Source organism: Homo sapiens, chromosome 11 (assembly GCF_000001405.40).
Source record: "Homo sapiens chromosome 11, GRCh38.p14 Primary Assembly".
NCBI classification, from domain to species: Eukaryota; Metazoa; Chordata; class Mammalia; order Primates; family Hominidae; genus Homo; species Homo sapiens.
The window spans coordinates 106,732,518-106,759,124 of NC_000011.10; the positions used below are offsets into that span (position 1 = coordinate 106,732,518).

General features: G+C 37.9%; 1 protein-coding gene across 2 annotated transcripts in view; it reads right to left on the minus strand.

Moving 5' to 3' along the window:
• GUCY1A2 (guanylate cyclase 1 soluble subunit alpha 2) overlaps nucleotides 1–26,607 on the minus strand; it is a 344,458-nt gene that overhangs the window by 58,499 nt on the left and 259,352 nt on the right. Inside the window, exon 7 of one of the 2 annotated variants that reach the window (NM_001256424.2) lies at nucleotides 14,034–14,126. The exons of the other annotated variant lie outside the window; for it this stretch is intronic. Coding sequence (NP_001243353.1) covers nucleotides 14,034–14,126 — 93 coding nt within the window. The remainder of the gene's footprint in view (nucleotides 1–14,033; nucleotides 14,127–26,607) is intronic. 2 annotated transcript variants of the gene reach the window in all.

The window sequence follows — 26,607 nt, forward strand, 5'->3', positions numbered from 1 at the left end:
TATTTAAATGTTAAAGATTATTGTTGCCTTTCCATACTGCCAACAATGCATTTAGATGGTGGTAATGATGATGATGAAGCATATCCTTGAAATAAAACAAAACAAAATGTTATTCCTAACAATGACATGTTTAGTAGAATTGGATTTAGTGAAAAACCATTAGGAGAGCAAGAAATTCTTCAAGTTCTTCCTTTAGGATGGACAGTTTTTCTCACTACAGAAATTAAGGAATGAAATATGATTGACTCATTTGTGAACATATACACACAAGGCAAATGGATGCAGAAGTCATTTCTTAATGGAAGCTGAATGATAACATCAATTTAAGAGAAAAGATATCAGAAACAAGATTGGAATAAAATGTAGCCTAGATTTCATAAAAACAATAGCCTTACTTTCCCTGTCTCATTCATCTGCTACAAAATCACATTTAGAAATTTAGTCCCTGAGAAAAATAACACAGGAATGGAAAATTCAGATTTGGAATAATCACAGACAACTGTAATCTAAGATTATTTGTTATACTTTCTTTCAACACTATAATGGTTTCAAAAACGCTTGTTTTCCAGCGAGTAACATAAACCACCAAACACATTGCTGTTCAAACTTGCCAAAAGGACATGTTATGTATCACGGTTTTTTAAACTGCTGGTTGCAATCTTTTAGTGAGTTGTAAGGCTAGGAGTTTTATTTTTTTAAATGAATCTTTTTTAGTTAGATGTACTTTTTATATACATAAACATATATGTGTGCTCTGGGTCAGGATGTAAAATGTATTTATTATGAGTTGTAGTCAAAATATTTGAAAGCCATTGTTTAGAGACTACGAATATGCTAACAATGTTTAATGAATATTACTGCCAATAATATGTTGGTACCAGACTGTAAGCAATATTTTCTCAAGAAGTTAACTCCTCAAACACTGGTCAAGGCATCATTCTCTCTTCTTCCCTTACCAGAAAGTCTCACCATTTAGTACCTCTTTAAGAGAATAGCTGCTTAAAGATCATATATAAAGTAATTACTTTTTATTAAAATGCGATGAAATTTTAAGTCTAGTTTATGAAAGCAGCACTTACTAGACTGAAGATACAGAAAGACTGGCTCTGAAGAACAGAGATACGGAGCAGACACATGAGGTTTAGAAGTACTGAGCGAGCTGACCGAGTGGTGGGGACAGGCCAGGGGAACTGATTGGAACTAATTTGGAAAGGAGGAGGAGCTTGGACAGGGAATACAGCCCTCAACAGCTGGGGAGAAAGACTGAGGAAGCAGGCCAGGAGAAGGAACCTTGGCAATGAGATGCCCAAACTTGGATATCGAAGGCAATCAGGGAATCTCTCTTAGAAATATTATCAGTCCTCTCTTGAAAATGCATTCCTCAACTCCTCCTAGGGGAGCATTCCTCTATCTCCTAGAGACTCTGAAACATTTGGCCACATGTAGACTGTAGGCTATAACTGGTTAGTCACAGTGTATGACTGTGGATGTGAATAGGTAACAATATAGTAATCTCCCTTGAGACAAACTATACTGAGTTTCTTTTCTGTTTGTAAAACAGGCAAAGAAGAAAGAATGATTTAATAGTATTTTATGGCACCTTTCAAATACACTTTTAATGAACCTTATCAGTATCCTCAGAAAAAACACAGAGTTGACATGACCCACACACATCCACATACCAGCAACCACTGGAGCAAGAACTAAACTGCACTCCAAATTCTTTGCCCTTTAGTTACACTGACCTGCTTCTCTCTACTTGAGAGAGAACAGAAAGTCAAAATCAAAGATATATTTTGCTTACCTCATGCCTCTGCCCTTAGCCTGCCTTGGCCTAAGGATATATAAGAATATCCTACAAACTTGAGGGTGTTGCTCTGTCCTATCTTTTATGTACCCTTTTACAATAGGTTTGAAAAAAATAAATGTATTTCATAGAATGTAAGACTCCATCAATAGCAAAAGGTATGAGTATTTTGTGTACCACCAGGAAAAAATTAAACCATGACATGTTTGCATATCTTAGTATTTCCTTTAACAACTGCTAAAATATTTGACTGATTTAGATATATTTTTTATTATATTCATTCTAGTCACACATAAAAAGAAAATATAAGCACAATAATGCTGTGAAGTTATTGCCAAAGTTCCTCATTTTCAGGGTCTAACTCTTCTGAATCACTTTTCAAGTTGGAGGTATTGTTGTCCATGTTTTCCCACCTGTTTCATTCTCTGGGACATCAAGAATATTTCTTAAGAGGTTTCACTCTTCAGGCTTTGAGGTTGGAACATCTCGATTTTAGCGGAAGATGAGCAAAAGAATGTTTGCAATCACTAGGACCCATGGTCTTTCTTCAAATATGGTAAGACATATCCTGGGTTCAGTGATTTTAAACAACAGGAAGGAAAAAGGTGTGTTTTAGAATTGATGGAATAAAATACTCTCCTAGTATTTTCTTTTAATTTTTATTTTTTTAATTTTTTATTTTTATGGCTATATAGAAGGTATATATATTTATGGGGTACATAAGTATTTCGATACAGGCATACAATGTGTAATAATCACATCAGGGTAAATGAGATATCCATCACTGCAAACATTAATCATTTATTTGAGTTATAAAGATTCCAGTTGTATTCCCTCAGTTATTCTAAAATGTACAAAAAATTATTCCTGACTAGTCACCCTGTTGTGCTATCAGATACTACATCTTATTCATTGTATCTAAGTATATTGTTGTACCGATTAGCCAACCCCATTTTCCTCTCTCCTTTCCAGTACCCTTTCCAGTCTCTGGTAACCATCATTCTACTCTCTATCTCCATGAGTTCAACTGTTTTAATTTGTAGCTCCCACAAATGGGTGAGAACATGCAATAGTCATCCTTCTGAGCTGGGCTTATTTCACTTAGCATAATGTCCTCCAGTTTCATTCATGTTGTTGCAAATAACAGGATCTCATTCTCATGGCTGAATAGTATTCCATGTGCATATGTACCACATTTTCCTTATTAATTTGTCTGTGGACAGGTTGAATGCAAATCTTGGCTATTGTGACTAGCGTTACAATAAACATGGGAGTGCAGTTATCTCTTCAATATACTGATTTCCTTTCTGTGGGGTATATAACTAGCAGTGGGATTGCTGGATCATATGGTAGTTTTATTTTTAGATTTTTGGGGAACCTCCATACTCTTCTCCAACAGAACTGTACTAATTTATTTTCCCACCAACAGCATATGAGGGTTCCCCTTTCTCCAGATCCTCAGCAGGATTCATTGTCATCTGTCTTTTGGATAAAAGCCATTTTTATCTAGGTTGAGATGCTCATGGTAGTTTTGTTTTGCATTTCTCTGATGATTAAGGATGTTTAGCACCTTTTCATATACCTGTTTTCCATTTGTGTGTCTTCTTTTGAGTAGTGTCTATTCAGATCTTTTACTCATTTTTTAATCAAATTATTAGTTTTTTTTCCTATTGAGTTGTTTGAGCTCCCTACATATTCTGGTTTTTAATCCCTTGTCAGATAGATAGTTTGCAAATATTTTCTCCCATTCTGTGGGTTGTATCTTCACTTTTTTGATTGTTTCCTTTGATGTACAGAAGCTTTTTAAGTTGATGTGATCCTATTGGTCCATTTTTGCTTTGGTCACCAGTGTTTTTGAGCTACTACTAATTGAATCTTTTCCCACTCCAATGTCCTGCAGAGTTTCTACAATGGTTCCTTTTAGTAGTTTCATAGTTTGAGGTCTAAGAATTTAAATCTTTAATCTATTTTGATTTGATGTGCCTATGGTGAGAGACAGTGGTCCAGTTCGTTTTTCTACATATGGATATCCAGTCTTCCCAGAACCATTTATTGAAGAGACGATCCTTTCCTCAATGCATGTTCTTGGCACCCTTGGCAAAAATGAGTTAACTACAGATGTATAAATTTATTTCTGAGCTCTCTATTCTGTTCTATTAGCCTATGTGTCTATTTTTATGCCAGTACCATGCTGTTTTGGTTACCATAGCTCTGTAGTATAATTTAAGTCAGGTAATGTAATTTCTCCAGTCTTATTCTTTTTGCTCATAATGGATTTGGCTATTTTGGGTCTTTTATGGTTCCATATATATTTCAGAATTATTTTTTCTATTTCTGTGAAGAATGTCATTAGTATTTTGATAGTGATTGCATTGAATCTGTAGATTGCTTTGGGTAGTATGAACATTTTAATAATATTGATCCTTCCGATCCATTAATATTAAATATCTTTCCATTTCTTGTGTGTCTTCAATTTTTTTTAAAGTCTGTAGTTTTTAAAGGTAGAAAGTACAGGATTGCCTTTTATCTCCAAACGTGACACTTACAGTGATCATTGCATTTTGCTTGTTTCTGATGATCAGGTGCTACCAGACAGTCTCTTTCATCTGGGGAGCATACCACCACATTGCTCTCAGGGAAGCCAGTCCTTCAGCAGTATCTTTTGTCTATGGAGGGCAGGACTAGCCTACAGAGGGCAGCTCCACTGACTTTACTAACATTGTTGGTACCCATCCTAGTAGCAAATCCCTTAGCACTTTGGTAACTCAAACTGTCATTGCTTTTCATTGTAGACGCACATTTTGATTTTTAAAACAAGTACAAAAAAAGAACAAAAATTTATCAGTTTTATCACTCAGTATCCCAGCAAGAAACAGATGGTACACTCAAAGTGGTTTAATGAATAGAAGAGAACTTAACATACTTACTCTGGCTCCCCCGTGATAGTTAACTAGTTAATTGTATGGCTTTAGATAGTATATCCACTTTAGAATGCTTATTCATTTGAGGTTTTTGATTACTTCTTTTTAAGGTAGATTTGGTGGCTCCACTTCTCTTAGAGTGGACCATCTCTTTTTCTTTTTTTAAATTATACTTTAAGTGCTGGGGTACATGTGCAAAACATGCAACTTTGTTACATAGTTATACACGTGCCATGGTGGTTTGCTGCACCCATCAACCCATCATCTAAATTAGGTATTTCTCCTAATGCTACCCTTCCCCTAGCTCCCCACCCTCACAACAGGCACCGGTGTGTGATGTCCCCTCCCTGTGTCCCTGTGTTCTCATTGTTCAACTCCCACTTATGAGTGAGAACATGCGGTGTTTGGTTTTCTGTTCTTGTGTTAGTTTGCTGAGAATGATGGTTTCCAGCTTCATCCATGTCCCTACAAAGGATGTGAACTCATCCTTTTTTATGGTTGCATAGTATTCCATGGTGTATGTGTCCCACATTTTCTTTATCCAGTCTATGATTGATGGGCATTTGGGTTGGTTCCAAGACTTTGCTATTGTGAACAGTGCCACAATAAACATACATGTGCATGTGTCTTTATAGAATTATTTATAATCCTTTGGGTATATATCCAGTAATGGGATTGCTGGGTCAAATGGTAATTCTGGTTCTAGATCCTTGAGGAATCACCACACTGTCTTCCACAATGGGTGAACTAATTTACAGTCCCACCAACAATGTAAAAGTGTTCCTATTTCTCCACATCCTCTCCAGCAACTGTTGTTTCCTGACTTTTTAATAATCACCATTCTAACTGGTGTGAGATGGTATCTCATTGTGGTTTTGATTTGCATTCCTCCAATGACCAGTGATGATGAGCTTTTTTTCATGTTTGTTGGCTGCATAAATGTCTTCTTCTGAAAGGTGTCTTTCATGTCCTTAGCCCACTTTTGATGGGTTGTTTGTACTTTTCTTGTAAATTTGTTGAAGTTCTTTGTAGAATCTGGGTATTAGCCCTTTGTCAGATGGATAGATTGCAAAAACTTTCTCCCATTCTCTAGGTTGCCTGTTCACTCTGCTGATAGTTTCTTTTGCTGTGCAGAAGCTCTTTAGTTTAATTAGATCCCATTTGTCAATTTTGGCTTTTGTTGCCATTGCTTTTGGTGTTTTAGTCATGAAGTCTTTGCCCATGCCTATGTCCTGAAGGGTATTGCCTAGGTTTTCTTCTAGGGTTTTTATGGTTTTAGGTCTTACGTTTAAGTCTTTAATCCATCTTGAGTTAATTTTTGTATAAGGTGTAAGGAAGGGGTCCAGTTTCAGATTTTTGCATATGGCTAGCCAGTTTTCCCAACACCATTTATTAAATAGGGAATCCTTTCCCCATTTCTTGTTTTTGTCAGGTTTGTCAAAGATTAGATGGTGGTAGATATGTGGCAATATTTCTGAGGCCTCTTTTCTTTTCCACTGGTCTATACATCTGTTTTGGTACCAGTACCATGCTGTTTTGGTTACTGTAGCCTTGTAGTATTGTTTGAAGTCAGGTAGTGTGATGCCTCCAGCTTAGTTCTTTTTGCTTGGGATTGTCTTGGCTATACGGGTTCTTTTTTGGTTCCATATGAAATTTAAAGTAGTTTTTTTCTAATTCTGTGAAGAAAGTCAATGGTAACTTGATGGGGATAGCATTGAATCTATAATTACTTTGGGCAGTATGGCCATTTTCATGATATTGATTCTTCCTATCCACGAGCATGGAATGTTTTTCCATTTGTTTGTGTCCTCTCTTATTTCCTTGAACGGTGATTTGTAGTTCTCCCTGAAAAGGTCCTTCACATCCCTTGTAAGTTGGATTCCTAGGTATTTTATTCTCTTTGTAGCAATTGTGAATGGGAGTTCACTCATGATTTGGCTCGCTGTTTGTCTATTATTGGTGTATAGGAATGCTTGTGATTTTTGCACATTGATTTTGTATCTTGAGATGTTGCTGAAGTTGCTTTTCAGCTTAAGAAGATTTTGGGCCGAGACAATTGTAAATATACAATCATGTCATCTACAAACAGAGACAATTTGACTTCCTCTCTTCCTAACTGAATTCCCAGGGAATCAACCAAAAAAGGATACATTTCAAAATTATTTAGCAAACAGTGGTCGAACATAAAATTAACATTTATTTAACACTTACAGAGTGCCAGACACTATGTTTTACCTTGTTTCTAATTCTTAGACTTTACTTTTTACAGATTAGGGAATTGAAAGTCAGAGAGGGTAAGCAGCTTGCCTACAACCTAAGGGCAGCACAGGCCAGTGCCTGAATTCAAACCTGTGGAGGATACTGCACTGCCTGAGCTATAACCCTCAATTCTCTTTTATGCTCCTAATTAGTTTCTTATTATCTATAAAACATGTCTTTTAGAATTGATTTTCCCTACTTTCTTCATTTCTATCTGCCTCTTTTTCCTTTGTTCATGTTTCCTTACTCAACAGATACTTTATGGTGAACCATAAGATATCCCAATTCTCAGGAGACATACTATTGGGAAGTGTTACTCTTGTGTTTCCCCTCCCTCCTGGAGTTAAGCATGGGTACAGGCGAGCTACTTCTTTCCCATTTCAGTAGCTAAAACCAGAGTTTAGCTCCTCAGAGGTCCCTAGCAGCACGACTGACATAGCATCTTTCTAGTCTGCCGTAAGTACCACTACCTTTACACCTCATTGAGAGGCACTTTTTTTTTTTTTTTTTTTTGAGATGGAGTCTTGCTCTGTCACCCCGGCTGCAGTGCAATGGCACATCTCAGCTCACTGCAACCTCCGCCTCCCAGGTTCAAGTGATTCTCCTGCCTCAGCCTCCCAAGTAGCTCGGATTACAGGCACCCACCACCATGTCCGGCTAATTTTTGTATTTTTTAGTAGAGACGGAGTTTTACCATGTTGGTCTGGCTGGTCTCAAACTCCTCACCTCAGGTGACCCACGTGCCTTGGCCTCCCAACAATGTGCTGTGATTACAGGTGTCAGCCACCATGCCCGGCCTGAGAGGAACCTTTTTTTCTCAGTGGGAGTAGGTAAGGAAGTAGAAACAGATGCTTTTAAGAAAAACTGGTAAGAAGCTTAAAATATTTTCTGGATAGATTTTTATTTTTCTATGGTTGGCCATAGAGCAGTGATGTGATAAAATAATATTTGAGGTGACTGTTTCAGCAGCCTGTTTCTTGTCACCAAGACTTAACTTACACTGTCTTCTGTACTTGAAATGCTAACACCATTGCCCTCCTTCTATGATGATTCAATATCACTTCTTCCATGGATCTTTCCTCAAATGCCCTGTTAGAAATGTTTACTCACTCTTCTCTTTACACTCTCCTATGGACCATATCACTGTATGTATGTATGTATGTATGTATGTATGTATGTATGTATTTAGAGACAGAGTTTAGCTCGTTACCCAGGCTGGAGTGCAATGGTGTGATCTCGGCTCACTGCAACCTCCGCCTCCTGGGTTCAAGTGATTCTCCTACCTCAGCCTCCTGAGTAGCTGGGATTACAGGCATGTGCCACCATGCCTGGCTAATTTTGCACGTTTAGTAGAGACAGCGTTTCTCCATTTTGGTCAGGCTGGTCTCGTACTCCCAACCTCAGGTGATCCACCTGTCTTGGCCTCCCAAAGTGCTGGGATTACAAGCATGAGCCACCAAGCCTGGCTCCAATTTATGATATTATAGTTAGTCTAGCTGCACAGTCTTGGAGCAGAGAGCATGCCCTCTTTAACTCTAGTGTCCTTTATTGCAATGCTGTCCAATAGAAAAACAATGTAGGCCTCAGATGTAGGAGATGTACACAATTTCAAAATTTCTAATAGGCATGTTAAAAACAAAAAAGTCCAACTAATTAAATAGCATTTTATTTAATACATTCAAAGTATTATCAGTTCAAACTGTAATCAAATTAAAAATCATTAATGACTTTTTAAATATTCTTATTTTGGAGAAAGTCTTCAAGTCTGGTATGTAGTTTTTATTTACAGCACATCTCAATTTTGACTAGCCATATCTAAAGTATTCAATAGTCACATGTGGCTAGTGGCTACCATATTGGACAGCAGCTCTGGAGCTGCACACTGAAGCATACATGTGAGCTGGGGACCTTACATTTTTATTGAACAAAAAAGGCAGTGCAGTGGAAAGATCAGCAACATGTGATGGTATTGTGTATCAAAGGAGAAGGAAGAAGGAAAAGGAGAAAATAACCACAGAAATGGAGCTTGGGAGAACAGGTTATGGTATTACATTAGACACCAATAAATTATTGGAAATAGAGGAGGTAAGGGACCAAAATAAAAGATGATAAGTTTTGTACTATTGTTGTCAGAATTATCCTGGAGAAAGCAAACGTAATGCTTTTAACAAAAGTGTGGTGATTCTACTAGCACCACCCACATATGGATATTTAGAAAAAAGTTTACAATGGTGATAATGATGAGAAGACAAATACATGTAACCTTTCCTCATTTTGCAGTCACAAGCAATTATCATGAAGATGATAGATTTTACCATTAAATAAAATGTCAACAATCAAGTGCACTGAATCCTTTTAGTTCTTAATCTAGATAATTACTTCATGAATTTGACTTGCATTCACTTCCACATAGTGCATACAGCTAGACAGATAAAACTGAATGAAGTTATGACATTTGCATGTATAACAAGGCTGTTCATTTTTGTTCTCTCCAACTATTTATCACTTGATTAAAAATATGACCCCACTATACCTACTTAGTATTACTTACCTAGCAATTACTGCCTTTCAATTGCATGCCATTTTATTCACAGTTCATGTTGTTATCAAAATACACTCAACAAAATCAAATAATAAGTGGGGAGAAAAAAGTAGCACATGAATTTCAAATGGATGAATTTTCTTTTTTTTTCTTTCCAACTTTTATGTGCAGGATGTGCAGGTTTGTTACACAGATAAACATGTGCTATGGTGGTTTGCTGCACAGATCATCCCATCACTTAGATATTAAGCCCAGTATCTATTAGCTATTCTTCCTGATGCTCTCCCTCATTCCACTCACTACCCACTGAAGGGCCCCACTGTGGGTTGTTCCCCTCATGTGTCCATGTGTTCTCATCATTCAGCTCCCACTTACGAGTGAGAATATGTGGTATTTGGTTTTCTGTTCCTGCGTTAGTTTACTAAGGATAATGGCTTCCAGGAACCATCTGTGTCCCTGAAAAGGACATGATCTTGTTCCCCTTTATGGCTGCATAGTATTCCATGGAGTATATGTTCCACATTTTCTTTATCCAGCCTATCAATGATGGGCATTTAGGTTGGTTACATGTCTTTGCTATTGTGAATAGTACTGCAATGAACATGTGTGCATGTATCTTTATAACAGAATTATTTATATTCCTTTGGGTACATATCCAGTAATGGGATTTCTGGGTCAAATGATATTTCTGCCTCTAGGTCTTTAAAGAATTGCCACACTGTCTTCCACAATGGTTGAACTAATTTACACTCCCACCAACATTGTAAACGCTTTCAAATGGATGAATTTTCAATGAGTAAACAGATACTACTTTCAATAAGTAAACAGGTACTTCTGAAGTACCCTCTTCATTTTTTTGTTTGGTATTTGCCTATTAATCTGAGTCTTCTTTAGGTTTTGCTAATATGGAAAAGTATAAATATATTCTTTTGATGTTCAGTGGGTTCCCATTAATGTCATAGTACCACACCACTAAATTGCTACTACCCAAGCTATAATCCTAAGAGTAGTCTTTTATTCCTTCATGTACTTCATCTAATCAAGTAAGTTTATATACATATATATTTTTGAATCCTGCTCCATCTCTTCTTCTTTATCTGTAACACTACTGCCTGAGCTCAGGCTTTTGTCAGCTTTCACGTGACTCCTATGGTCACCTCCTAACTGATCTTTCTGTTCCCAAGCTTGTCCCTTCAAATTCATAATACATAAAGCTACCAGAGAGGTACCTTCCCGCTTGAAAAAGGTCACGAGTTCTCAGGTGACCACAATGGTTCTAACAAAAATGTGGGGCTTCTATTAGCTCCACCCACATATGGGTATTTAGAAAAAAGTTTACAGTGGTGATAATGATGAGAAGACAAATACATGTAACCTTTCCTCATTTTGCAGTCACAGGCAATTACCATGAATATGATAGAATTTACCATTAAATAAAATGTCACAAGTGCACTGATGTGGTTTCTGCCCAGCACCTGTCTCTCTTCCTGTCACTCAATTACCCTCCATTGACTTTGTATTAATAACGAACTCGTGGTTTCCATGACTAGAGGGCGGGATTGGGACCTCCTTTACCTTTCATATGCTATCCATATACTAATTTTGTATTTATTTTTCTGTATTTTAATTATGTGTTTCTGTATTTGTCTCTTCTACTAGTTTGTAAATACACTGAGGCCAGGGAAAGCCATTCAGTTTGTAAAAAGTCTAGTTATTTGCATAATATAGAATGTGATAGGATCTTGATTGGACAACCAAAGTCCTAGGGTAGTGTTTTATGTATAAAGTGGCACTGAGTAAATATTTGTTGACATGAATTAAATCTATGAACATGCCCAGAACTGGACACAAGATTCCAGAGTTGAATACAATATGCAGAAAACTAAAAGGTTGCCTTTTCCTGTAAGTCCCTAGTTTAAGAATCCACCCCATTTTTAGATGAATCAAGTTCTAATTTAGAAACTAGCTCAGGAATGAACGACCAAGAAGACCATGGATGTATAACATACATCATTATTAAATAAGGAGTATTCCTATCACCCTTTGTTACTCCATCAAGGAAAAGAAATACAGTTTCCTATCATTCCTAATTGAAAAGAGTACTGAAAACAAGAAAGTTGAGGAGGATATGAGAAACTCTGTAAACTTCTAGTATAGCAAATATCTTTCTGTGTCTCATCAATCATCAACATAAATGCTTTTTTTTTTTTTTTTTTTTGAGACGGAGTCTCGCTCTGTCACCCAGGCTGGAGTGCAGTGGTGCAATCTCAGCTCACTGCAAGCTCCACCTCCTGGGTTCATGCCATTCTCCTGCCTCAGCCTCCTGAGTAGCTGGGACTACAGGCACCCACCACCACACCCGGCTAATTTTTGTATTTTTAGTAGAGACAGGGTTTCACCATGTTACATAAATGCTTTTTAAATCATCGGAATGGTTGCCTTCCCAAAGAATTTAACTTTTATCTTGTACAAGCTTTCCCCACCCTTATCCTTTTGACCTTACATTTTTTTGGACATTTTTGAAGATGTGCTTATGAAAAGTAATAAGCAGGAAGGTTTACTTGTCATGTCTTATAATAAGTTTGTTTTAGGAGTTATTTGAAGAGCCATATAAAACCTGTTTTACTGAGTGAACAAAGAAAGAGCTTGCTAGCGCTTCCCCAACATTCAAAAATAGTAATTTGTCATCATAGAATGATGGAGTGGGGGATGGGGCAGAACTTATATTATGATCCATATAAAAGCAGCTAATTGTGTACCTCATTAAAAATTATATTTTGGTGGGTACTCATGTTGTCAACATGGATAATGATTGACTTCTCTTTGTCCTTAAACTGCTATATACTTTAGTTAAGCATTACTACTTTGACATTTCTGAAAAGGCTGCCTCATCAAATATTTTGAATTTTAAAAAAAATCTTGTGAGTGTAAACTACTTTGTATAAAATTATTTAAAATACTATCTAAAACACTGTTAATTATGAAGGAAAAGAATAAAAATTATTAGATTTAAGAGAGAAAAACAGGTTAAATTTACCATGAGTTAACAAAGTACAGAAAAAAGGAAAGGATTGAACGATTTGCCATGGTTTATCCTCTGAAATATTCACAATAAGTGCAACAAGCAGTTACTATATTACTATATTTAGACTGAAAACTAGTTTCTGTATTTTTATTTAATGGCATTCTATATTTAAAAGGGTCTTACTAAACCCCACAGTGTTCTAGGGTAATGTGTAGTGACATGTGTGAATGGACACACACCCACACACTCTCTTTCTCTCTTAAAAAATAAATGAGAAGTACTTTGTCTAATTGGTTCTCCACTTCTTAAAAAACAGTGAAATTTATTAGCCATTTTATTATACCACTGTGTATTATAACTCTCACTAAATTGCCTCCCATTTTAAACAATAAAAACCTATCAAATATTTATTTTAATTACCATTTGTTGCCACATACCACCATTTAGTGAATTGAGATTTTAATATTCAAATACTTTCTTGGCATGGTGTAAACACTGATCAATGTTTATTTTGTAGCAACAGGAGCTAAAGAATATTTCCTTCTTAACTACCAACCCATCTGTATACAATAGATATTCCATAAATAATGACTAACCATATGTAATGACTGTCCTAAGATGCACACACAACTGTTGTCAGAATGAACTATATTTGCAAATGTGGTCCCTCATGGTCTCTATGATGTCTTGCAACTGGATAACACATTTTATCTTTTGCCATGAATTCTTCAAACATTTCTTAAATCCTACTATAGTTCTGTGCTAATGACAGCCAGAGGGATATATTTTGAGCCCAGCAAATCTGTGCTATCTAATGTAACTTTTTCAGTTTATACTCCCTTCTTGTAGGCTTTTGCTTTGAAGCTTGCACATTTTCCATCATTTTGGTGGTCCTTATCAGTATCTATTATAGAAACAAATGGCGAATTTCCATCTTTAGCCCCACTACCAGGACAAAAAAACTGGGGCAAAAACAAAAGTATTTTCTCTTTGGCTAAAGGACAGGCACTTCCTGGTGAAGTAGAAGCCATGAATGAAAGCCACTGGAATCTGGGGAGCATATCAGTGGCTAGCACCCAAGAGATGATCAAGCCTGGAGAGCAGTAGCTCATAGTGGAGGGAAAAAAAAAAGCTTTGAACTAAAGTGACCTAAGTTTGATTTTTGGTTCTGCCATATATTACCATGTGACTGGGGCAAGTGTCTTCATTTTTCTTGGCCTGTTTTATTTGTAGAGTGAAGAATGTGAGACATACTTTATAGGGTTTCTGTGAGGACTGAAAAAATTAACATTTACATATGCTCTAAATAATATTTGGGACAAAGTAGAGTCTCAACAAACTACCAGTACTACTACAAACAAAAGGATGATGATGATATTTGAATAAATGAATAAGGATTATACTCAAGGAAGTAAGTAATAACCAATATGCATAGCTGTATCCTCTGTTTTCCTTCTCCCTATAAGTGAAGCTCATTACCTTTTCAGTACCCAAATCCGTTTCACTTTGATGCTGATCTGGAACCAGCTGGATGGAAACAGGAAAGGAGAAAAGGAGTTCACTCCTCTGGGGCTTGAAAAGTCACACCGAGACACCAAGTGAATCAAGGGACAAAAATAAAAAATCAGTACTGTGACATTTTTTATTTGCATATACATATAGCCATGATTTTGTAGTTTATGGCCAATGTCACTGAGGTTGACATTGGTGGTACAATAAAAAAATTATCTGGCATAGGAAGCTCTGTCATTTGAAGGGATGAGAGAATATTCCAAGGGAACTTGGAGAAAGCATCGTAGAAAAAGGAGTGTAAAGGCACCCACGTGATAAAAAATGGCACGCTGGGCAAAACCTTATTTTCCATACTGAGTTGTGCAAATAGTCACTGTCCTTTAAGAATCAAAAGATGTGGGTTTTTTTTGTTTGTTTGTTTTGAGATGGAGTCTCGCTCTGTCGCCCACGCTGGAGTACAGTGGCGCAATCTTGGCTCACTGCAAGCTCCACCTCCCGGGTTCACGCCATTCTCCTGCCTCAGCCTCCCAAATAGCTCGGACTACAGGCGCCTGCCACCATGCTCAGCTATTTTTTTTGTATTTTTAGTAGAGATGGAGTTTCACCGTGTTAGCCAGGATGGTCTCGATCTCCTGACCTCGTGATCTGCCCGCCTCGGCCTGCCAAAGTGCTGGGATTACAGGCGTAAGCCACCGCGCCCGGCCCATGAAATAATAAATGTGAGAAATTCTAGGTTTGAAAAGTTAAATAAATTTTTTAACCTTGATACTTTTCAGAATCTGTAGTAGGCAACACTTTGCGAAAGTTACTTTACCACCAAATTGTCATTTCACAAGACACCAATTGACTTGACAATGAGGTCAGTTTTTCAGATTGCTATACTGGAGGATCTACTGCAATGAGGAGAAGGCAATAACTGCTTAAGGATTAGTACTAATAGTGTTTATTAGAAACAGCTGTGTACTCAGTTGTAGAACACATCCAGCAGTAGCTGGCAAAAGGCACATGACATTCTGGGTTTTTGCATTTTTTCCCTTTATCCACCCCTTTTGGGGTTTATTCTCCAATAACTGGAAGATAATCAATTACAACTGAGATTTGGTGAAATATTGATATTGATTGGTAACCTGTGAGCACACACTCCTGTGTTATCTTTCCCATGAGACAGATTTACAGGAGTGCTGGGGTGGGATGGGGAGGTCGGGCTTCCAGGAGGAGCTGTGTACACAACAGCAAAGGTGGAGCTTGTAAGCATGAGGGATCTGATGGAAAGTTATGGCTTGTGTGAGGGTTACTATTCCCTTACTTGTTCACTTACTCTTTAAACTGTACTCTGTTGAGACAAGTCTTACAACAGCAGTGCTTGCAGATCACTGTGGCTGTGATATCCTTAAACACAACAGCTGACAGTAGAAAGAGGCAGCAAAGCTCATAGAAACTTGATGGGATTTCCCATATTCTTAAGCTCTCATTTCCTCCAAAGAAAATGCAATAAGAAAGAATAAAGAAGTTTCTTTAAAAAAATCCATTTGATTTTGAGGGTAAAGTGGGTGGCTGAATTATGATGACACACCTTCAGAGCATAAAAATTACAGGTAATTTTCTCTTCTAAAAGGTGATTATGATAATAGAGCTATCCTCTTAGGAGACTGAAAGCTCTTTCTCTATGAAAAGAGAAAAGAAGCTTAAAAGTGACAACTGTCAAAACAACCTGAAACAAACATAAGATGCAAAAGGATCCTGAGATAGGGCACTAGGAAGCTCTACCTATAGGGTAACATCTAGCTGGCTGTGTATATGTACACATACTTATACAGGCTGTATATACGAATTCTCCTCACTATATGTATATGAATTGGGATAGCAGGAATCACAGCAGCTGAGGTAAAAGAAGGAGAACAGCACCTCATTTTTCAGCCCTTCTGTGTTCCCTCCCTGTTAATTCTCTTAGGGAGCTAGATGTTCTTTATCCATTTGCAGATTCTGAAACACTGACAGATGAAATCTAGAACCATGGTACACATTTAAACCATGCTACTCTATTTTCTAATTTCTTAAGAATTGAGTCTTTCTTGACCTTAAAACTATGACCTTTATTTCTAAACATCTCACTGTATATGGCTTAGGTTACATGATTTCCATTATTTTTAATACGCTAATATTTACCTTCTTAGGTAAATTAATTATCTTTTCGGCCAATGTTTTCCAAACCATGGATTTAAAAATTACTTTAGGGAGTTATGAAGAGCAGTGTTTAATTAAATAGAACAGAATAACACAGCGTAGAACAGAATAGAAAACATCAGACCTCATTGTGCACAGCAAGGGTATTATTTCATAAATTTTTGTCTCTGTATGCCCAGTAGAATCATATACAGTCATGTGTCACATAATGACATTTTGGATAATGATGGGCTCACATATACAATGGCAATCCCTTAAGATTATAATACTGTATTTTCACTATACCTTTTCTTGTTTGGATACATAAATACTTACCATCATGTTACAACTGCCTACAGTATTCAGTATAGTCACATCCGGTACAGGTTAAGTAGCCTAGGAGGACTAGGCTGTATCAGGTAGCCTAAATTTGCAGCAGGCTGTACCATCTAGGTTTGTGTAAGTGCACTCTGTGACATTTGCATAATGATGAAATCATTTAATGATTCATTTCTCAGATCATATCCCTGTCATTAAGCGACACATAAATAACTGTAATGTATGTATTGTCCACAAGAGAAAATATTTGAAATCTATTGTTTTTGGTGCTATTTGGGTGTCAAGTTCTCCTTTGGGCTGCGGAATCAATCATGTTACATAACCCCTGCCTAACAGAATCCCTCTGCTGCTCCACCTCACAGCCTCTGCACCCACCTCTGAGTTCAGCCATAGCTACTGGACTGTTCTTAGGAGCTTTTAGGCTTGTTCTATACTGATCACCTTTTGCCTTGAGGTAAGTTAATGCAGCCTGGAAGTGAGAAGGAGTTAATGTCCTTGGAGTGTTAACCAATATAGAAGAACCAGTGGATATATGTTCTTGCCTGCTCTTCCCTAGACAGATAATTTAAGAGGTATTCTCTATGCCTCTTAGGAGCAATCCCCAGTGGAATCTAGTCCACATTGCTCACAGAGGCATGACCTTGAAAACGTACTCGTACATTGCCCTTTCCTCCTTCTCACTCTTCACTCTCATTCCTGACCCTGGGATCTCCTTCCAAGTAAACTACCTACACCCAAGACCTTATCTCAGATTCTTGAGAACTCACACCATTATATCATGTAAACATCTAGCACTAAATACACCAGTAAATATGATTGTATTAGGGTTCTCCAGAGGGGCAGAAACAATTGGATCTATGTATACATAGGAGAGAGTTTATTAGGGAGAATTGGATCACATCATTACAAGGTGAAGTCCCATGATAGGCTATCTGCAAGTTGGGGAGAGAAGCCTATAATTTCTCAGTCCAAGTTGGAAAGACTCAAAACCAGAAAAGCTGACAGTGCAGCCTTCAGTCTGCTGCAGAAGGCCTGACAGCCCTGGGGAAGCCACTGGTGCAAGTCACAGATTCCAAAAGCCAATGAACATGGAGTCTGGTATCTATGGGCAGAAGAGTGGAAGCAAGTGTCCAAAACAGGCAAAAGAAAAAGAGCCGGCAGATTTAGCAAGCCAGCTTATCCCACCTTCTTCCCCCTGCTTTATTCTAGCCATGCTGGCAGCTGATTGGATGATGCTAACCCACACTGAGGGTGGGTCTTCCTCTCCTAGCTCACTGAGGCAAATGTCAGTCTCCTCTGGCAATACCCTCACAAACACACCCAGAAACAATGCTTCACCAGCCATCTAGGCATCCCTCAGTCCAATCAAGTTGACACCTAATATTAACCATCACAACAAAACAAAATATTGAATATTTTCATGAGCTATTACAAAGCTAAAATTTTAAATTATTATGCAGTAAAGTCCTTGCTGCAATTAGAAAACAGTACCAATTCAAACTGCATAAAAATACAAAATGACACTACTATAAATGAAATGAATTCAGCACTATAAATGGTTTCTAAATAAGAAAGATATTTGATTCATACCAATTACCCCATAACTAAGGGATTTTTCCAGTGTAGTTGTTTTAGCACCATAGTGGATGTAAAAAAAAAATTATGTATTTTCATCACAAATTAAGCTCTTAATTAGACATGCGATTTCCTTTTTTTTTTCTATAATATTTCTTTCTTTTCTCTTGCGAAATCTTTTCAAGGTGTCCCTGGATTACAAGAATAGAAACACACTTGATGGATCCTACTTGTCAATCAAATTGACAGCTATAAAATAAAATCAGTCATTCTGCTAAAGTATAACTTTTAAGGATGAATTTTTAGCTCAGAAATTTAATCATATGAGTGCTTCTGAAATAAAATGATGATGCCTGGTTAATTCTATGTGCCACTGCATATTAATTCACACATCTCCTCTTTAAGAATACCATTTTAATGGGATATTGTCACTGTGTAAAATGTATGACTAGCCCAACTGTTGGTGCAGTTTGTATTTTTTCTACTTTTCACTGCAAAGGTTGATAATGTTAAATCTAACAACTAGTAAAGGGCAGAAATAGCTAATTATTCAACCTTTGGTGACTTCACTGAATTCTATAAGTAGTCCTCTATATTCAAGATATTAAAATGTACACATATGAGAAGGAAGAATCTTCTCTATTTCTATTTCTAGAGTCTTGCCAGCTAAGGCAGTAAATGATATACAATAGAACTGGAAATGATCAGTTTCATTAAACCCAGTTTATAAAGACTCTTTCGAAGTTTTATTCTCCTGTGGTTACTATCATGCATCAAATCATTAAATAGCATTCTCTTCTCTATTCCCTTAGGGATTCCCTTCATGGGACTTGACACAGGACCAGGTTTTCAATGTGTCTGAGTAGTACTGATGTGAATAGTACTGTATCACATCCCAGGGTTCTGAGCTATGGTTCTTAAGAGACCACGTGCAAAAACATTTGCCAGTATTTTCTAATTTGCCAGTATTTTCTCAAAATAAAATAAAATAAAATAAACTTTCATATTTTTATTTTAAAATATAAAGTCAATATTATATTCCCCAAATGCTACCAGAGTGGATTTATTTGTAGAATTAAATTATAAAATAAATTTCAGTTTATTTAGTACCTTGTATTAAGCACATGGTAGTGTCTTGATAATATTTTATATGTAAAACCAATGTATGAAAAATGAATAAAGAATTAACAAACGTATATCAGGATATAATTTTCCATATTTTGCTGCAGAATTTTATATATTTCTACATTGATAAATCTGTTTAATTCACAAATAATAAATTCCTTGCACTATGATATACAAAGATGAACAGGACATAGTCCCAAACAGGAAAGTTCTCACAGCCTAGTACATACAACACAGGAATTTACACACACAATTTATTTGCAAGTTACAATATGTTAAATACCAACAGTAAATTGTGACAAAGTTATCAGTTTCCTAAGGAAGAAGGAAGTAATTGCTACTAAGGAGATAGTGAGTGTTGGAGATGACTTCTTAGGATTTGAGCTGGCCAAGAAAGATGGATAGAATAAGAAAATAAACAAAATATAAACGTAACAAAACCTAATATAAATATAACAAACCAATTAACAACATGGCTAAGGTAAACTTGGTGAATATGGTAAAGAGATAGCAATGTACAGAATGGCAATAATCTGGAATGTTTAATGCCATATTATGGTTCAAAAAGGTTTATTCAATAGAATATAGTTTTATTATACTTTAAGTTCTGGGGTACATGTGCACAACATGCAGTTTTGTTACATAGGTATACATGTGCCATGTTGGTGTGCTGCACCCATCAACTTATTTACATTAGGTATTTCTCCTAATGCTATCCTTCCCCCAAGCCCCGACCCCCCAGCAGGCCCTGGTGTGTGATGTTCCCCTCCCTGTGCCCATGTGTTCTCATTGTTCAACTCCCACTTATGAGTGAGAATATGCAGTGTTGGTTTTCCGTCCTTGTGATAGTTTGCTGAGAATGATGGTTTCCAGCTTCATCCATGTCCCTGCAAAGGACATGAAGTCATCCTTTTTATGGCTGCATAGTATTCCTTGGTGCATATGTGCCACATTTTCTTTATGCAGTCTATTACTGATGGACATTTGGGTTGGTTCCAAGACTTTGCTATTGTGAACAGTGCCACAATAAACATACGTGTGCATATGTCTTTATAGTAGCATGATTTATAATCCTTTGGGTAGACAGACAGTAATGAGATTGCTGGGTCAAATGGTAATTCTGGTTCTAGATCCTTGAGGAATCACCACACTGTCTTCCACAATGGTTGAACTAATTTACACTCCCACCAACAGCATAAAAGCATTCCTATTTCTCCAAATCCTCTCCAGCATCTGTTGTTTCCTGACTTTTAATGATCATGATGTTAACAGGCATGAGGGCATGAGATAGTATCTCATTGTGGTTTTGATTTGCATTTCTCTAATGACAAGTGATGATGAGCACTTTTTCATATGTCTGTTGGCTGCATAAATGCCTTCTTTTGAGAAGTGTCTGTTCATATCCTTTGCCTACTTTTTGATGGGGTTGTTTGTATTTTTCTTGTAAATTTGTTGAAGTTCTTTATAGATTCTGGATATTAGCCCTTTGTCAGATGGATAGATTGCAAAAATTTTCTCCCATTCTGTAGGTTGCCTGTTCACTCTGCTGATAGTTTCTTTTGCTGTGTAGAAGCTCTTCAGTTTAATTAGATCCCATTTGTCAATTTTGGCTTTTGTTGCCATTGCTTTTGGTTTTAGTCATGAAGTCTTTGCCCACGCCTATGTCTGAATGGTATTGCCTAGGTTTTCTTCTAGGGTTTTTATGGTTTTAGGTCTTACATTTAAGTCTTTAATCCATCTTGAATTAATTTTTGTATAAGGTGTAAGGAAGGGATCCAGTTTCAGCTTTCTACACATGGCTAGTCAGTTTTCCCAACACTGTTTATTAAATAGGGAATCCTTTTCCTTTTGTCAGGTTTGTCAAAGATCAGATGATTTTAGATGTGTGGTGTTATTTCTGAGGCCTCTGTTCTGTTCCATTGGTCTATACATCTGTTTTGCTACCAGTACCATGCTGTTTTGGTTACTGTAGCCTTGTAGTATAGTTTGAAGTCAGGTAGTGTGATGCCTCCAGCTTTGTTCTTTTGGCTTAGGATTGACTTGGAAATGTGGGCTCTTTTTTGGTTCCATATGAAATTTAAAGTAGTTTTTTCCAATTCTGTGAAGAAAGTCAGTGGTAGCTTGATGGGGATAACATTGAATCTATGAATTACTTTGGGCAGTATGGACATTTTCACGATATTGATTCTTCCTATCCATGAGCATGGAATGTTCTTCCATTTGTTTGTGTCCTCTTTTATTTCATTGAACAGTGGTTTGTAGTTCTCCTTGAAGAGGTCCTTCACATCCCTTGAAAGTTGGATTCCCAGGTATTTTATTCTCTTTGCAGCAATTGTGAATGGGAGTTCACTCATGATTTGGCTCTCTGTTTGTCTATTATTGGTGTATAGGAATGCTTGTGATTTTTGCACATTGATTTTGTATCCTGAGACTTTGCTGAAGTTGCTTATCAGCTTAAGGAGATTTGGGGCTGAGATGATGGGGTTTTCTAAATGTACAATCATGTCATCTGCAAACAGAGACAATTTGACTTCCTCTCTTCCTAACTGATTACTCTTTATTTCTTTCTCTTGCCTGATTGCCCTGGCCAGAGCTTCCAATACTATATTGAATAGGAGTGGTGAGAGAGGGCATCCCTGTCTTGTGCCAGTTTTCAAAGGGAATGCTTCCAGTTTTTGCCCATTCAGTATGATATTGGCTGTGGGTCTGTCATAAATAGCTCTTATTATTTTGAGATATGTTCCATCGATACCTAGTTTATTGTGAGTTTTTAGCATGAAGGGCTGTTGAATTTCGTCGACGGTCTTTTCTGCAGCTATTGAGATAATCATGTGGTTTTTGTCTTTGGTTCTGTTTTTGTGATGGATTACATTTATTGATTGCATATGTTGAACCAGCCTTGCAACCCAGGGATGAAGCTGACTTGATCATGGTGGATAAGCTTTTTGATGTGCTGCTGGATTTGGTTTGCCAGTATTTTATTGAGGATTTTCACATCAATGTTCATCAGGGATATTGGCCTAACATTCTCTTTTTTTGTTGTGTCTCTGCCAGGTTTTGGTATCAGGATGATGCTGGCCTCATAAAATGAGTTAGGGAGGATTCCCTCTTTTTCTATTGATTGGAATAGTTTCAGAAGGAATGGTACCAGCTCCTCTTTGTCCTCTGGTAAATTTGGCTGTGAATCTGTCTGGTCCTGGACTTTTTTTGGTTGGTAGGCTATTATTGCCTCAATTTGAGAAACTGTTACTGGTCTGTTAAGAAATCTGACTTCTTCCTGGTTTAGTCTTGGGAGAGTGTATGTGTCCAGGAATTTATCAGTTTCTTCCTGATTTTCTAATTTATTTGCAAAGGGGTGTTTATAGTATTCTCTGATGGTAGACTGTATTTCTGTGGGATCGGTGGTGATATCCCCTGTATCATTTTTTATTGTGTCTATTTGATTCTTATCTCTTTTCTTATTAGTCTTGCTAGCAGTCTGTCTATTTTGTTGATCTTTTCAAAAAACCAGCTTCTGGATTCATAATTTTTTTGAAGGGTTTTTTTTGTGTCTCTACCTCCTTCAATTCTGCTCTCATCTTAGTTATTTCTTGTCTTCTGCTAGCTTTTGAATTTGTTTGCTCTTACTTCTCTATTCTTTTAATTGTGATGTTAGGGTGTCGATTTTAGATCTTTCCTGCTTTCTCTTGTGGGTATTTAGTGCTATAAATTTCCCTCTACACACTGCTTTAAATGTGTCCCAGTGATTCTGGTACATTGTGTCTTTGTCTTCATTGGTTTCACAGAACATCTTTATTTCTGCCTTCATTTCGTTATGTACCCAGTAGTCATTCAGGAGCAGGTTGTTCAGTTTCCATGTAGTTGTGCGGTTTTGAGTGAGTTTCTTAATCCTGAGTTCTAATTTGATTACACTGTGGTTTGAGAGACAGTTTGTTGTGATTTCTGTTCTTTCACATTTCCTGAGGAGTGTTTTACTTCCAGTTATGTGGTCAATTTTGGAATCAGTGCAATGTGGTGCTGAGAAGAATGTGTATTCTGTTGATTTGGGGTGGAGAGTTCTATAGATGCCTATTAGGTCCACTCGGTCCACAGCAGAGTTCAAGTCCTGGATATCCTTGTTAATTTTCTGTCTGGTTGATCTGTCTAATGTTGACATTAGGGTGTTAAATTCTCCGATTACTAATGTGTGGGAGTCTAAGTCTCCTTGTAGGTTTCTAAGGACTTGCTTTATGAATCTGGGTGCTCCTGTATTGGGTGCATATATATTTAGGATAGTTAGCTCTTCTAGTTGCATTGATCCCTTTACCATTATGTAATGGCCTTCTTTGTCTCTTTTGATCTTTGTTGGTTTGAAGTCTGTTTTATCAGAGACTAGGATTGCAACCCCTGCTTTTCTTTGCTTTCCATTTGCTTGGTAGATTTTCCTCCATCCCTTTATTTTGAACCTATGTGTGTCTTTGCACATGAGATGGGTCTCCTGAATACAGCACACTGATGGGTCTTGACTCTTCATCCAATTTGCTAGTCTGTGTCTTTTAATTGGGGCATTTAGCACTTTTACATTTAAGGTTAATACTGTTATGTGTGAATTTGATTTTGTCCTCATGATGCTAGCTGGTTGTTTTGTCCGTTCATTGCTGCAGTTTCTTCATAGTGTTGATGGTCTTTACAATTGGCGTGTTTTTGCAGTGGCTGGTACTGATTGTTCCTTTCCATGTTTAGTGCTTCCTTCAGGAGCTCTTGTAAGGCAGGCCTGGTGGTGACAAAATCTCTCAGCATTTGCTTGTCTGTAAAGGATTTTATTTCTCCTTCACTTATGAAGCTTAGTTTGGCTGGATATGAAATTCTGGGTTGAAAATTCTTTTCTTTAAGAATGTTGAATATTAGCTCCCACTCTCTTCTGGCTTTTAGGGTTTTTGCCGAGAGATCTGCTGTTAGTCTGATGAGCTTCCCTTTGTGGGTAACCCGACCTTTCTCTCTAGCTGTCCCTAACATTTTTTCCTTCATTTCAACCATGGTGAATCTGACGATTATGTTTCTTGGGGTTGCTCTTCTCGAGGAATATCTTTGTGGTGGTCTCTGTATTTCCTGAATTTGAATGTTGGCCTGCCTTGCTAGGTTGGAGAATTTCTCCTGGATAATATCCTGAAGAGTGTTTTCTAACTGGATTCCATTCTCCCTGTCACTTTCAAGTACACCGATCAAACGTAGATTTGGTCTTTTCTCATAGTCCCATATTTCTTGAAGGCTTTGTTAATTTCTTTTTACTCTTTTTTCTCTAATCTTGTATTCTCACTTTATTTCATTAATTTGATCTTCAATCACTGATATCCTTTCTTCTGTTTGATAGATTTGGCTATTGAAGCTTGTGTATACTTCATGAAGTTCTTGTGCTGTGTTTTTCAGCTGCATCAGGTCATTTATATTCTTCTCTAAACTGCTTATTCTAGTTAGCCATTCCTCTCATCTTTTTCCAAGGCTTTTTAGCTTCCTGGCATTGGGTGAGAACATGCTCCTTTAGCTCGGAGAAGTTTGTTATTACCCACCTTCTGAAACCTACTTCTGTCAAGTCATCAAACTCATTCTCCATCCAGTTTTGTTCCCTTGCTGGCAAGAAGTTTTGATCCTCTGGAGGAGAAAAGGCATTGTGATTTTTGGAATTTTCAACCTTTTTTCATTGGTTTCTCCCCGTCTTTGTGGATTTATCTACCTTGGTCTTTGATATTGGTGACTATGGATGGGGTTTTGGTGTGGGTGTCCGTTTTGTTGATGTTGATGCTATTCCTCTCTGTTTCTTAGTTTTCCTTCTAACAGTCAGGCCCCTCAGCTGCAGGTGTATTGGAGTTTGCTGAAGGTCCACTCCAGACCCTGTTTACCCGGGTATCACCAGCGGAGGCTGCAGAACAGCAAATATTGCTCCCTGATCGTTCCTCTGGAAGCTTTGTCCCAGAGGGGCACCCATGAGATGCCAGCCAGAGCTCTCCTGTATGAGGTGTCTGTCAGCCCCTACTGGGAGATGTCTCCCAGTTAGGCTACATGGGGGTCATGGACCCACTTGAGGAGACAGTCTGTCTGTTAACAGAGCTCGAATGTGGTGTTGGGAGAACCACTGCTGTCTTTAGAGCTGTCAGGCAGGGATGTTTAAGTCTGCAGAAGCTTTGCCCACAGCTACCCCTTTCCCCAGGTGCTCTGTCCCAGGGAGATGAGGGTTTTATCTATAATTCCCTGACTGGACTGCTGCCTTTTGTTCAGATATGCCCTGCCCACAGAGGTGGAATCTAGAGAGGCAGTCAGCCTTGCTGAGCTGCGGTGGGCTCCACCCAGTTCGAGCTTACTGGCAGCTTTGTTTACACTGTGGGCATAATACCACCTACTCAAGCCTCAGCAGTGATGGACGCCCCTCCCCACACCAAGCTCCAGCATTCCAGGTTGATCACAGACTGCTGCACTAGCAGTGAGAATTTCAAGTCCATGGATCTTAGCTTGCTGGGCTATGTGGGCGTGGGACCCACTGAGCCAGGCACCGGAGGGAATCTCCTGGTCTGCTGGTTGCGAACACAGTGGGAAAAGTGCAGTATTTGGGTAGGAGTGTATCATTCCTCCCAGTATAGACTCTCATGGCTTCCCTTGGCTAGGAAAGGGAAATCCCCCACCCCTTACACTTCACAGGTGAAGCAACGCCACACACTGCCCTGCTTCGGTTCGCCCTCCATAGGCTGCACCCACTGTCCAACCAGTCTCAATGAGATGAACCAGGTACCTCAGTTGGAAATGCAGAAATCATCCATCTTCTGCATTGATCTCACTGGGAGCTGCAGACCACCACTGTTGCTATTCGGCCATCTTGAAAGCTCACCAGAATATAGGTTTCAACAACTAGCTTGAGAACACATTAAAGGTACTTACTGATTAGGATTTAGTTCTTATTTCCTAGGCAATGAAGAGTCAACAGAGTGGCTTTCCATTATTTTTTGATCATAAACAAAGCAGCAGCATGTAGCATAGTTAGAGAGGGAAGCTTTCAAAGAAAATGACATTTTTGCATTAATTACAGAGGAGGTTTTGTTGACACACTGGGGCCAGTCAAAGGGGAGAGATGAAAGGCAGAGAAGATATTTGAAGAAAGAATAGTGTTGGGGAGGGGTGTGGAAAGAATGTCAAATTTATTCATATTGATGTCTTCTAGCATTTCATTTAGTTAGGAAAGGAGGGGTCTGTTTGGAGTAAGAGTAGCAAAGTTAAAAGTCAAACAAATGTAGTGACTATGCTCACTACCTAGATGATGGGATCATTTGTATCCCAAACCTCAGCATCACACAACATACCCATGTAACAAACA